Source organism: Homo sapiens, chromosome 1 (assembly GCF_000001405.40).
Source record: "Homo sapiens chromosome 1, GRCh38.p14 Primary Assembly".
Taxonomy (NCBI): Eukaryota; Metazoa; Chordata; class Mammalia; order Primates; family Hominidae; genus Homo; species Homo sapiens.
In genome coordinates this window covers 87,630,493-87,645,429 of record NC_000001.11, presented here as the reverse complement: position 1 = coordinate 87,645,429, position 14,937 = coordinate 87,630,493, and the positions used below count along the sequence as shown (strand labels likewise).

The following is a 14,937-nucleotide window of genomic DNA, read 5'->3' as shown; positions in this document are numbered from 1 at the left end:
AATCAAAAAGGCTTTAGACAGAAGTTAGCTATTAGTAACATATAAATTAAGTGTAAAATCAAAGTTGGGTGGGAGAGTAAGTTCAGTGGTTATGGTCTTAATGTAACCTAACAAAGGCAACCTCAGCACAAATAAAAGTAATTATAATCATAATGTAAACTCTTTCATTATGTTCTTACATAATTCAAGCTCCAAAGAGTAGGCCTCATTTTTAACTCACTGCGACTGTCCTTAACTTGTCACATTGTACCAAGTTGCTATAGTCCCTATGGTGTCAAAACATCACAAGCTTTTCCCAGACCTCATCTGTATTTTTGAACAATGGGGTGAGTCACTGTTAGCCACAAGTGTGACTCTGTGACCACTGGCACTTCGTATCACCAAATTTGCACAACTCTGGCTGAATCACATTAATTAAGTTTTGAGTGCTGCTATTTAAAGTTATTTAATTCTCCCCTAGAGTTACACAGAGTGGGATCTTAGCCCATTGTTTTCAAAGGAGTTTGAAAACTTACACACGGGCCCAATTGTTTTCCTACATATTTAGAGAATGTTAGAACACACTGCAGCTGCTCTAAGAACTATGGAAGCTTTTCCCAGTCTCTGCGGTCTATTGGCCAAATTTATATTGACGGATACTTCAGAGCGTGGATTATTGAGCTAATAGACCTCAACGACTCACTATTGTGTGCATCAGAACTGTCACACCCATTTATAAGGCAGATCTGTTCCATGTGACTGAAGACAAAGAGATATAACAGAGAATACTTTTTTGAAAAGTCACCTCACAAGCATTGATGACGTTAGTCTTATAAAACCATCTGTCTGGAAAACCTGTAGTACTCCAAGAACACTCATGCCCCATAATGGCCTATAAATGTTTTTGTAAGAGTTCCAAAAAAGTGCACAACCAGTACATTTCTGTTTTCTATTTTTGTGCCTTCAAAAAAGAAAAAAAAAAAGTAAAAATAGCCAAAGGACTGGGTTTTTTTCCTTTGACAATTTGTCAAAGGAAAAAAAAAAGGTCACTTTAAGGCTGAAACTTTGTATGCCAAGTTTTTGTTTGGAACTAATTTTTATGGCTGAGTTATAAAGCCCCTGAAAAAGGGGGTTTCTAGTGGAAATGCTGACACAGCTTTACCCATAGTGGCAAGAAGGGGGCTGCTGCACTGCCTGTTTGTACCATGTTTGCTTTGTTGTGGCTTTAGAAAGAGAAATCTTGACTCTTAGCCCTGGGCACTATACACTGCTTAAAAGTATGTGTGTGTTCATATATTCTGACTACTTGTGGTTTGCAAAGAAGCTAGCACTGAAGCCTTCTGTGAAATGAACCTAGTAACCCATTGTGAGAGGGGACAGACTTATTTCCTGACTTTTAATAGATTTCATTATCCCAGAGACTCACCTTCCCCTGGATTTAACAACAGTAACTACCTACAGAAAGCAGGGAACAGTCCCAGCTTCCTCGTTAATAGTTCTTTAAATCTTAATTTTCAACAATTGTCTGCTGATAAAACTAGAAAAGCTAATGATGAGCTGTTTGTGCAGATTAAACGATAATGTGAATTACTTGGACACAAGGATGTATGAGGATCTGAATTACTGTTAGTCTACATCACCATTATAGTTTTAAGGTGGATATCTAATGAACTTACTCTGATTTGAAGTAGAAAGACTGTAGTGGGGAAAGCTTTTGAGAGAAGCAGGATTCTTTTCATTTCTACCTCCTGAGGGATGCTGTTCAAAAAACACTCCATTACAGTTGTAAAAAGACTAACTTCAGAACCCTACAACCTGCCCATATTCTAAAACAACAGCAACAAATAATTATTCATTAATGTCAAAAAACCCATCAAACCTATGGAAACTATTCTCCAATGTTCCTGTGGATTCCACATTATCATTCAAAATTCCTAGGTGTGGACAGCATAGCTTTGCATTATAAGGATGTTGCTGAACTAAAGGAGCCCAGTGGGGTTCTTGGACCTGGGGTACACTCTGACTTTGGTAGTTATGTTAAAATTACTAAACTCCAGTTCACAAAAGCATCATATTTTTAAAAAGGGGACAAAACTTGCTTCATTTAATTTTTCCAGAGAGCCTTTATTCCGTTAAATAAAAGAAAAAAGGCTTTTCTGAACTTCAGTGTTTTGTAGCTTGGGCTTTATTTCCACCTTAAAATCTTTACCTGGCCATGATCTGTTGTTCCATTACTGGAGGGCAAAAATGGGAGGAATTTTCTGGGCTAAATTGCAATTAGGCAGCCCTGAGTGCGGCTGGCACCAGTTAACTTAGGATATTGGAGTGAAAAGGCCCGTAATCAGCCTTCGGTCATGTAGAACAATGCATAAAATTAAATTGACATTAATGAATAATTGTGTAATGAAAATGGAAGAGGAGAGTTAATTGCATGTTACAGTGAGTGTAATGCCTAGATAACCTTGCATTTAATGCTATTCTTAGCCCTGCTGCCAAGACTGCTACAGAACCTCTCTCAGCAGGAAGTCATTAAAGCTGTGAGTAGATAATGCAGGCTCAGTGAAACCTAAGTGGCAACAATATAACAAGAGTTTCTTTCAGACCTTAGTGTTTTCTGGAAAAAAGGGCATGTTGAGGTAATTTGTACACATCTGAATGAAAACAGGAAACTCCTAGCAATCTATTTGCAGTTTGTCCAGTCCCCCAGATTGCCCAACTCTTGTAGAGACCAAGGTCAGCTCCTATAATCAAAGAAGCCTAAACCACTGGGGCTTACAAGGCTATAAGCACCCAGCTGCCTACCAGCTACAACTTAGTTTTGTTAATCACTTAGTGTGGCAGAGTCTGTGAAATGTTTGACCTCAGACTTAAAAGACCAGGGGAGTATGTCCTCAGGACCAGTTCATGGACGCCACCTGCTCAAACAGATAATCATTTCAGGAGCCCCAACATTCTCAAATACCCACCCTGAAACTTTCATTTAAAGCTATGTGTCCTTTGACTGTGGCCAACAGTAAGATCATTCTAGACCTGCGTCTTAAGGTTTCTCAAAATTTCCAAGAAGAAAATCCACAATATTCTTCTCCCGACTATATTTCTTTTTATTATGGTTGTTTCTAACTTTTAGTCATTGCAAGGTTTTATTTTTAGTCATTTGGGGGTTTTATTTTTCTCTTTAATCTATGGACTGTCCAGAGGGAGTCTACTCTGACAAAAGGGCACCTTTTTCAGCCTGAAAGACAAGAGGTAAACAGCATGCTGCTCGATTGATCACTGTGGAATTGCCCCTGGCCAGTGGTCCTGGGTGGAATGTACATATGGCATGCATGTGGTTAAAAAGACCAGATAAAAACAGATTCTAGGGAAAGTGCTCGAAGGAAGTGGATGAGTTTAAATACCTGTCATTTTGCATTTTTACAAAATATAGTTTTAAACCTCATTTGGAAAACAAAACTCAGTGCTACCAACAGTAGCCAAGATTTATTAATTGAAAGGGAGCTCTAATTCTTTTTCAGTCTCATATTTTTTTTCTTGCAAATCCAGGTGTCAGTACGTATTTCCACCAAAGTGATTTTTGATTGAGGAATTATTTCATCCTGAGGGCTTCATTTTGTTAGCTTTTGATTTGCACAGAAATGTGTTTTTCTCACGTCATTCAGGATGGATCTTCAGTGTTGCTGTTTGGATGCCTTATGCTCCACAGACCTTCACTCATATTCCCTAGTTCTGCTGGGCATGGGGGGCACGTGGGGCCCGTGCTCACAGGTCCCAAACAATAAAAGATGCTTCTTCCATCAAGAAATTCTCGGAAATAACAAATCTCTGAGAAGAAGATAACCAGCCCAAAAGAGATAGGTCCTGGGTATTGGGAAATGTGTCTAGAATACAATGCATAGCATCACCTACTATTGGCCAGGTTAATACACAAACAATTGGAATTCTCAGATTAAAAATAATAATAACAAAGAGGAGAAGGAGGAAGAGGAGGGGACAAAGGAAAAGAGCCAGAACTTCATCTTAGAACAGAGTCAAGCCATTGGCATTTTTTGCTCCCAGAGCTTAATCTGTCAGAGGATTCTGTCCCTTACTTGCACTGTGATTTTGGCAAATTCTTGTCCTCTCTGAGCCCTCAGATCTTAGCTAGCAATGGCAGTGGTACTCACCTCTAGAAGTGTTGTGTAGGCTAAGTGTGATAATGCTTACAAGTGCTACATAAATATTGCTTTTATTGTTTATCGTTGCCTTCATCAATTCTGTGACCATTGCTCTGCCCAGGCCACCTTCCTTCTTGACCACCACAGAGACCACACCTATTTCTGTATACCTTTGATACCTGTAAACCTTAAACATCTTGTCCAAACAATTCTGCCCATCCTGGAATTTCCCTATATAATTCTAACTTGAAATGATCTTTCCCTGTCTAATTTCCACCGACTTGCATGTCTCACCCTGGAAACTTATTTTATTTCCTGATATGCAGGGTTAAGTCTTGTTTTATAACATTCAGCTTGTGTTCCTACGAGATTCAAGTAAATAGGAGGGCTTAATTTATGTCTTGTTTTCAATGTGCATTACCTCAAAAATCAAAGTGCAAGCGACAGGAAATATTCAAACATGACAAAAGAAACACAATAGTTCAAACCATACTTAACTAGAATTTTAAGGTTGAGTGCGGTGGCTCACACCTGTAATCCCAACACTTTGGAAGGCCAAGATGGGAGGATCACTTGAGGCCAGGAATTTGAGACCAGCCTGAGCAACATAGTAGGATCCCATCTCTATATTTAAAAACCAAAAGATGGCCAGGCGCGGTGGCTCACGCCTGTAATCTCAGCACTTTGGGAGGCCGAGTTGGGCAGATCACGAGGTCAGGAGATTGAGACCATCCTGGCTAACACGGTGAAACCCCATCTCTACTAAACGTACAAAAAATTTGCCGGGCGTGGCGGCAGGCGCCTGTAGTCCCAGCTACTCAGGAGGCTGAGGCAGGAGAATGTCTTGAACCCAGGAGGTGGAGCTTGCAGTGAGCTGAGATCGCGCCACTGCACTCCAGCCTGGGCAACAGTGCAAGAGTCCAGAAAAAAAAAAAAAAGCAAAAATAAAAAATAAATAAAAATAGAATTTGCATGGGCCAGACACAGTGGCTCATGCCTGTAATCCTAGCACTTTGGGAGGCCTAGGCGGGTGGATTGCCTGAGCTCAGGAGTTCGAGACCAGCCTGGGCAACACGGTGAAACCCCGTTTCTACTAAAGTACAAAAAATTAGCTGGGTGTGGTGGTGCACGCCTGTAATCCCAGCTACTCGGGAGGCTGAGGCAGAATTGCTTGAACCCAGGAAGTGGAGGTTGCAGTGAGCCAAGATCGTGCCACTGCACTCCAGCCTGGGTGACAGAGCAAGACTCCATCTCAAAAAAAAAAAAAAAATTGCAGAGAATATAGAATTTTGATTAATTGAATTTACAACTACATGGGAAAATTACTTCTATAAGTTTTCTATAAAGACATAAAGACTTTTAAAACGTACAAATTTCTCATCTTTAAGGACAATGTAGTGACTATATCAATGCTTATTTGATGAGTAGGGACTTTTTAATGCATATGGCCATAATGCTAAGCAATTATCGTTATTATTATTATTATTATTTTCAGATGGGGGTCTGGCTCTGTCTCATAGGCTGGAGTGCAGTAACACAATCTCAGCTCACTGCAGCCTCCACCTCCTAAGTTCATGCAATTCTCCCACCTCAGCCTCCCGAATAGCTGGGATTACAGAGGTGCACCACCACACCTGGCTAATTTTTGTATTTTTAGTAGGGATGGGGTTTCACCATGTTGGCCAGGCTGGTCTCAAACTCCTGACCTCAGGTGATCCACTCACCTTGGCTTCCCAAAGTGCTGGGATTACAGACATGTGCCATCGCACCTGGCCAATGCTAAACAATTATAAATACAGGATAGATTGAGACAGAAAGACTAGGTTAAGTATATTCTAACTTTTAAACAGATCAGCACTAGTATGAGCAATTTTTTTTTTGTATTTTCTTTTTTAGGGAGATAGAAGTGTTTTACTGGAAGAGAGAAGGAATGCTTAATCAGTTTTACTATTAGATACAATCACTCAGGAAAAAAAGAGGTTTTGCTACATGTAGATAAAGAGGCTTCAAAGTTTATTGTTAAAACTGATAAAAGACAATGATCAGAGGAATATTTCATTTGTTTTTTGTGAGTCCTTTTGAGAACATGGAAAGAATTCAAAGTTAAGAGGTAATATGGCTTGGAAAAAAGGAGCTCCACTTTTTCAGCACTGCCACTTCTAAGCCACAAAACCTAGGGGAGAAAACTGATCTCACTTCCCCTTACTTTCCTCACCTGTACAGTGAAGGGTTTTCAAGGTCTTCTCCAGAACAATATTCTAAGAATGCTTTGCAAAATTAAATATGCATTTATTGATAATTTACTATGTGGAAAGGCATCATGTTATCTCATAGGATACAGAAATGCAAAAACAGTAAGTACTTTCAAAAAACACTTATCATCAGGAGCCAGTGTATGAACCTTAAAAAAGTTTTAAGTCATAAACTGTTTCCCTTTACAAGTGGCCATTCTGATGCAGGGCAGGGGAGCCCCCAAACTGGGGCTTAGCCTGGCAGGGTTCTTGGCTTCACTCCAAAAAGAATTCAAGGGTGAGCTGGTGGTGTTAGACAGCAACTTTTATTGAAGCAGCAGTGTACAGCAGTGGCAGAGGTACTGCTCCTTGCAGAGCAGGCCTAACCCACAGGCAGTGTGCCCAGAGTAGCAGCTCAGAGGCAACTCTGCAGTCATATTTATACCCATTTTTAAGTATATGCAAATTAAGGGGCAAATTATGCACAAATTCTTAGACAAAATATGGTAACTTCCAGACTGATATGGTTTGTCTCTGTGTCCCCACACAAATCTCACCTTTATTTGTAATAATTCCTACATGTTGTGGGAGGGACCCCGTGGGAGGTAATTGAAACATGCATGGGGGCGGGTCTTTCCTGCACTGCTCTCATGATAGTGAATAAGTCTCATGAGATCTGATAGTTTTATAAAGGGGAGTTCCCCTGCACAAGCTCTCCTGCCTGCCACCATGTAAGATGTTAACTTTGCTCTTCCTTCATCTTCCACCATGATTGTGACGTCTCGCCAATCATGTGCAACTGTGAGTCCATTAAACCTCCTTTATAAATTACCTTGTCTCATGTATGTCTTCATTAGCACTGTGAGAACAGACTAATGCACAGATCATTGAGTCACTGCCATGGCAAGGGACAGTAACTTCCAGGTGTTGCCATGGCAATGGTAAACTGACTTAGCAAACTGGTGTCCAGGTCTTACAGAGAGGTGCTTTCTCCTCTTCCCTCTTTTAGCTAGTCCTCAATCTGGTCTGGTGCCCAAGCCCTGCCTCTGGAGTCGAGTCTCACCTTCTACCTCAATTCCATACGATGCTGGTCTGTTGAGGAGCAGTAGTAACATGCCTTTACCTTGGAGGAATGGACCACCAATAATCCCTGTACAGGTCTTCAAACAGTGAGCATTTCCTTCCCTTTCCTGTGCATTTGCTTTGGACTCCTCTAAGCAATTGGAAAGCAAAAAATTAATCTATATTTGGTTAAAAATAACAGTATAATTGCTGATAATAATCATGGTAATGAGAACAGTAACAAAAAAGGAATCCACCTGTGAGTTATTTGAATTCACGTATAAATTTAAACTAAAAATCACCTTTGAAACTAAGCATGGAATAATGTATTTTGGATATTCTTTAGAAAGGATGATGACCGGTTAACCATCTAGACACAGATCTGTGAAGATGTGTATAGGAAGTAAAAAATAAATACATAAAAATTGAGCTTAAGACTTTTTTTCTTTTAACTGATGTTTTGCCAGTATGTTATGGGCTTCATCAGAGAATGCAAACACAAACTTGTGTTTGGACTTCAAAGCATTTTTCAATTCCAGCTTAAGTAATGAAATAAATGTGTAAAGTCACAGATCCAGGGACTGCTTTGTATTGCTGGTTGTTTTATCACAACATTGTTTTTTAAAAAGATAGCTCTGTAGATTTAACTTTAATACCTGAAAAAAAAATTGGAAAGCCATTCAAGAGATTGATTTGCAAACAAGGAGAAGATACTAGCTAGTGCTTAGCATGGCTTATTCAGAATAAATTCCACTGGATTAATCTGATCTCATGAGACAGTGACATACTTGACAAATGTCGGGCTGTGGGTATATGAGAAGAGGAAACAAAGATACAATATGTAAACTTATGTCAATGATCAGGGTACATTTAAAACTAGCATCATGTTAGTTTATTCTAGACACATGAACATATACCACTTTTCAAAATCATTGTCTCTGTAACCCTGCTGGAGGCTCAGTTGCCTCATCTGTAAAATACGAGTGATAAATCAGTTCAGTGTTTTTCAAAGCATGGCATGGCCTTTCTGAGGGTCATGAGATTAATCTATTATAGTAGGTAACAACTATCAATTTAAAAAACATATAGTAGAATAAATTAGAATAGAAACCATCAGAGTTAATTGCATGTAGAAAGGGTGGGTTCTGTTTTGTATAACTTTTGTTTCAGTTATGTACTCTATGTGTGTGTGTGTTTAGTGGGGCATAATATTGAGAGATGACAGCGTGCTGGCAGCCCTTGCAGCCCTCGCTCACTCTCGGCACCTCCTTGGCCTTGGTACCCAATCTGGCCATGCTTGAGGAGCCCTCCAGCCCTCCGCTGCACTGTGGGAGCCCCTCTCTGGGCTGACCGAGGCCAGAGCCAGCTCCCTCTGCTTGTGAGGAGGTGTGGAGGGAGAGGCGCGGGCAGGAACCAAGGCTGCATGCAGCGCTCGTGGGCTGGTGCAAGTTCCGGGTGGGCATGGGCTCGGCGGGCCCCGCACTTGGACGGGCTGGCAATTGCACTGGCCCCAGGCAGTGAGGGGCTTAGCACCCAGGCCAGCAGCAGCGCAAGGTGCGCCGGATCCCACAGCATTGCCGGCCTGCTGGCGCTGTGCTCGAATTCTTGCCAGGCCTCAGCTGCCACCCCACAGGGCAGGGCTTGGGACCTGCAGCCCACCATGCCCAAGCTTCCCCCCAGCCATGGACTCCTGCACAGCCCGAGCCTCCTGGACGAGTACCACCCCCTGCTCCGCAGCGCCTGGTCTCATTGACCGCCCAAGGGCTGAGGCGTGTGGACGCATGGCACGGGACTGGCAGGCAGCTCCACCTGTGGCCCTGGTGCGGGATCCACTAGGTGAAGCCAGCTGGGGTCCTGCGTCTAGTGGGGACTTGGAGAACCTTTATGTCTAGCTAAGGGATTTTTAATACACCAATCAGCACCCTGTGTCTAGCTCAAGGTTTGTAAACACACCAATCAGCACAGTGTGTCTACCACAAGGTTTGTAAATGCACCAATCAGTGCTCTGTGTCTAGCTGATCTAGTGGGGACTTGCAGAATCTTTATGTCTAGCTAAAGGATTGTAAATACACCAATCAGCACTCTGTGTCTAGCTCAAGGTTTGTAAACACACCAATCAGCACCCTGTGTCTAGCTCAAGGTTTGTAAATGCACCAATCAGTGCTCTGTGTCTGGCTAATCTAGTGGAGACTTGGAGAACATTTGCCTCTAGCTCAGGGATTGTAAACACACCAATCAGCACCCTGTCAAAACAGACCAATCAGTTCTCTGTAAAACAGACCAATCAGCTCTCTGCAAAATGGACCAATCAGCAGGATGTGGGTGGGGCCAGATAAGGGAATAAAAGCAGGCTGCCCAAGCCAGCAGTGGCAACCTACTAGGGTCCCCTTCCACACTGTGGAGTCTTTGTTCTTTCACTCTTTGCAATAAATCTTGTTGCTGTTCACTCTTTGGGTCTGCAGTGCTTTTATGAGCTGTAACACTCACTGCAAAGGTCTGCAGCTTCACTCCTGAAGCCAGCAAGACCACAAATCCACCAGAAGAAAGAAACTCCGAACACGTCGGGACATCAGAAGGAACAAACTCCGGACACACCATGTTTAAGAACTGTAACGCTCACCGCGAGGGTCCATGACATCATTCTTGAAGTCAGTGAGATCAAGAACCCACCAATTCCGGACACAATATGAAATGTACTTCTTACTGTGACCTGAAATCAAAAACAGTCAAAAGCCGTGGACTTGATATTTATGGTCCCATCTTATCTTTTTCTTTTCTCAGCAAACATTTAGTGCATCTATCATATGTTTTAGTCCATTCTGGCTCTAACATTTTATTCTTTTTTTTTGTTTTTTTTTTTGAGATGGAGTCTCGCTCTGTCGCCCAGGCTGGAGTGCAGTGGCGCGATCTTGGCTCACTGCAAGCTCCACCTCCTGGATTCACACCATTCTCCTGCCTCAGCCTCCCGAATAGCTGGGACTACAGGCACCCACCACCACGCCCGGCTAATTTTTTTTTTTTTTTGCATTTTTAGTAGAGATGGGGTTTCACCGTGTTAGCCAGGTTGGTCTCAATCTCCTGACTCGTGATCCGCCCGCCTCAGCCTCCCAAAGTGCTGGGATTACAGGCGTGAGCCACTGCACCCGGCCAAACCATTCTTATGTAATATTAATGTATTTAAAAGATTCTATATTCACACACACACACACAAATATATATAAGTTTTAAAGCACAGTAATAAAGTAAACCCACCACCAACTTAAGAACAAGAAAGAATATTACTAACTGCATAGGTTCTGCCCCATCCAATCCTAGCCACCGCTTCTCTCTAGAGGTAACCAGGAGCCTAAATTTTACATTATGTCTTTATTTCTTCTTATCTCTTTTATTACATATACATATCCCTAAACAAAATTGTTCTTTGCTTTGATTTGTAATGACTTTTGTAAAAATGGTACTGGCGTGCATCTTTTTTGCAACTTGATTTTATCACTGAAGTACATTTGACAATTCATCAGTGTAGCTAGAATTCATCGATGTGATACAGAAGTGCTGGGTAGAGAAGGGCATGGTCTCTTTAAATGATACAGAAGTGGGACAGAGAAGTGCTGAGTAGAGGAGGGCGTGGTCCCTGGCGAGGGCTCCACCCCATGGACCTAGGTGAAGACAGGCATTTTTATTTTCCTGCCCAAGTGGTGGGTTTCCCAAGACCACCCTGGCCTGCCACACCCTCCATCCTGTGCCTATAAACACCCCTCCCCCCACCCATTCCCCAGACCCTAGCAGGCAGACACACAGGCAGCTGGATGTGGAGAGGAGCACATCAGCGGAAGAACACACGGCGGCTGGACATTTAGAGGAACCCACAGACAGGCACCCACACGCTGGCAGACCACCGACTGGCAGAAGTAGAATGACATGGAGTTTGGCTGGGGCAGTCTGAGGAAAGCCCAGGCCTCTGAGTGCCCAACTCCAGGGAAAAACCTTCTCCATCCTCTTCTCACTTCCCCGGAGCTACCACCACTCAATAAAACCTTACATTCATTCTCCAAGCCCATGTGTGATCTGATTCTTCCGACACACCAAGGCAAGAACCCAGGATACAGAAAGGCCTCTATCCTTGAGACAAGATAGAGGGTCTAATTGAGCTGGTTAATACAAGCCACCTATAGAGGGCAAACTAAAACAGCACCCTGTACCACATGCCCACAGGGGCCTCAGAAGCTGTAAACATTGACCCCTAGACACTGCCATGGGGTTGGAGCCCCACAGCCTGCCCATCTGTATGCTGCCCTAGAGGTTTCAGCAGGGCGGCACTGAAGAAGTGAGCCACACCCACATGGCATGCCCTGCAAGGGGGAAAAGGGAAATTTTCCCATTTCACATTTTCTGTGCTATATAATATTCCATTCTATGACTATACCACCATTTTTATTTAATCCTCCTTTTCCCAGTGAGCTGCTATGCATATCCTTTAAAGATCTCCTCCTGTACATATGCCAGGAATTCACTCAGGTGAAGCTTTCCAGTCTATTTCACATTATGGCACTGTCAGACCTGCATTAATCTGAACTGCAGCTGCTCCCAGCTCTACTCAGCAGACCAAACAGCACACTGTGGCTTCTCGACACATCATTTCACCACTGTTAAACTTCTGCTGTAAGGAATACCTTATCTAGGTGAAGAGTTGCCAGAGCCTCAGGTATAAGAATGTTTGATTTTACAATGTGGTTTCCTAAAGTGGTCATGCCAATTTTTAGTCTGGATAGCAAAATATGTCTATTTTCCCACATCCTTACTTTTAGTTGCTATTACCAGACTTCTTAGTTTTTGCCAATCTAGTGTATATGAATTCTATTTCATCATGGTCATAATTTGCATTTCCCTGATTACTAATGATTTTGAGCATTTTTCTTTCCTTTTTCTTTTTCTTTTTTTTTCCAGATGGAGTTTTGCTCTTGTTGCCCAGGCTGGAGTGCAATGGTGTGATCTTGACTCACTGCAACCTCTGCCTCCTGGGTTGCAATTCTCCTGCCTCAGCCTCCCAAGTAGCTGGGATTACAGATGCATGCCACCACACCCAGCTAATTTTTGTATTTTTAGTAGAGACGGGCTGGTCTCGAACTCCTAATCTCAAGTGATCCACCCGCCTCGGCCTCTCAAAGTGCTGGGATTACAGGCGTGAGCCACTGTGCCTGGCCTGAGCATTTTCTCTATATTTCTCAAATGTATTTCCTCTTCTGTGATATGCCTGTTCAAATACTTTATCCATTTTTCAGTTTGGAAGGGTTTTTTTTTTCTTGTTTACTTTGCAAGAGTTCTTTATGAATACAGGATATTAATACTTTGTTGGTTATATGTTGTCTTAGTCAGCTCAGGCTACCATAATAAAATGCCATAAACTGGGTGACTTAAACAACAGAAAATTTATTTCTCAAAGTTCTAGAAGCTCGAAGTCTAAGATCAGGATGCCAGCATGGTCGGTTTCCAGTGAGGGTTCTTTTCTTGACTTGCAAACAGCTGCCTCTGCTATGGTAGACAGAGCCATCTGTCTGCTGTCTCTTCTCATGAAGGCACTAATCCCATATGAGTGTCCCACCCTCATGACCTCAGCTAACCCTAATTACTTCCCAAAGGGCTCATCCCCAAATACCATCACATTGGAGGTTAAGCCTGCCACATATGAATTTGGGGGCGGACATAATTCAGCCCATAGTATATATATTACAAATATCTTCTAGTTTGTTATCCTTTTACTCTTGTTATGGTGCTTTTTGATGAGCAATTGTAAGCTCACAAATCTTGTTTTTGTAGCAACAAAATTTTTATATTTTCTTGAATATATATATACATTCTTCTAAAAGTTTTATAGTTATGTCTTTACTAGTTTCATTTTTATACATCTGGAATTTGTTTTTGTGAATAAAACAGATTCAATTTCATTTTTGTCCATGTGGATAATTAGTAATATAAATACCGTTTACTGTGTGATCCATACTTCCCAGTGAGCTGCTAGGAAACCTGGTCATCATCATAATTTATGGCAGGCCAACTGTCAGATTCCCCTGTAAGTTCCCTATTCTGTTGCATTGATCAACTTCATTATCCCCATGCCAATATATTATCTGAGAAACTATGTATTTATAATACATCTTGACATATGAACGAACAAAATCCTTTAGCTTATTATTCCTCAGAAGGGTCTGTTTTTTGTTTTGTTTTGTTTTTGAGATGGAGTCTTGCTCTGTCACCAGTCTGGAGTGCAGTGGTGCGATCTCGGCTCACTGCAACCTCCACCTCCTGGGTTCAAGTGATTCTCCTGCCTCAGACTCCCAAATAGCTGGGACCACAGGTGTGTGCCACCATGCCCTGATAATATTTGTATTTTTAGTAGAGACGGGGTTTTGTCATGTTGACCAGGCTGGTTTCAAACGTCTGACCTCAAGTGATCCACCTGCCTCATTCTCCCGAAGTGCTGGGATTAGAAGCATGAGCCACCACGCCCGGACAGAAGGGTCTTAAAAATTCTTGGGCCTTTGTTCTTACATGTAAATTTCACAATTTATACATTATCAAGTTCTTTTTGGAATTTTGTTCGATGTAATGTAATGGAATCAATCTATAGTTAAAATTGGAAATAATCGAAATTCTTACATTACTGAGATTTTCTGTCCAGGATCATGGTTTACTTCTCACTTATTAGATCTTTCAATAAAGTTTTTAAATTTTTCCCAAATAGGTCTTGAAATTTTTCTTTTTTCTTATTCTTATTCCTAGGCATCTTATATTTTCAGTTGAAATTATAAGGTATATAAATACATATATATACATATAGAGAGAGAGAGACAGAGAGAGAGAAAGTATGTTTTCTGTTTTGTTGTCAAGGTGTACATAGTAATTTATTTTTATGTATCGATTGTAATGCTATATTGCTTGTATATTCAGCAATCTTGCCAAACTCTGATATTAATTCCAAATATCTCCATAAGATTATTTTATATTTCCTATGTAGAAAATAATAAATTGAGAATAATGTCAGTTCTTAATTTTGCTAACTTTTGTAAGGGGAAGGGATTATTGCACTGGCTATGTGGAATGTGAAATAGAATGTGGAATAGAACTGGTAATAGTGGGCAACTTTTCCTTTTTCCTGATCGCTAAGGGTTTTGTTGGCATTTTAAATCATGAGTGTTGAATTTTACCAAGTGCTTTTTCTGCATCTATTAAAAAAATTAATATTGGTTGTTCACCTTTGATCTATTACTGGAGTAATTATATTGATCAAGTTTCTAAACTTTCTTTGAATTACTTGGATAAACTAAACTTGGTCATGCTGAATTATTCTTTCTTATATACTAGTATATGCAGTTTTCTAATACTTTGTTTAGGATAGTCAAACTCATAAGTGGAACTAGACTGTAATTTACCTTTGTTATTTTGTCCTTACCTATTTTTTAAATTAGATTAAATACTAGCATTATATATTCCTTTTATTCTGTTTTCTAGAAAAA

The 14,937-nt window shown here is 41.3% G+C and overlaps 1 annotated feature.

Annotated features, from left to right (window-relative positions):
- Positions 1,717-3,029: an enhancer, noted in NCBI's record as "VISTA enhancer hs1002". NCBI's record gives its function as "enhancer in: heart[3/5]" and the evidence as "EXISTENCE:transgenic organism evidence [ECO:0001131][PMID:17130149]".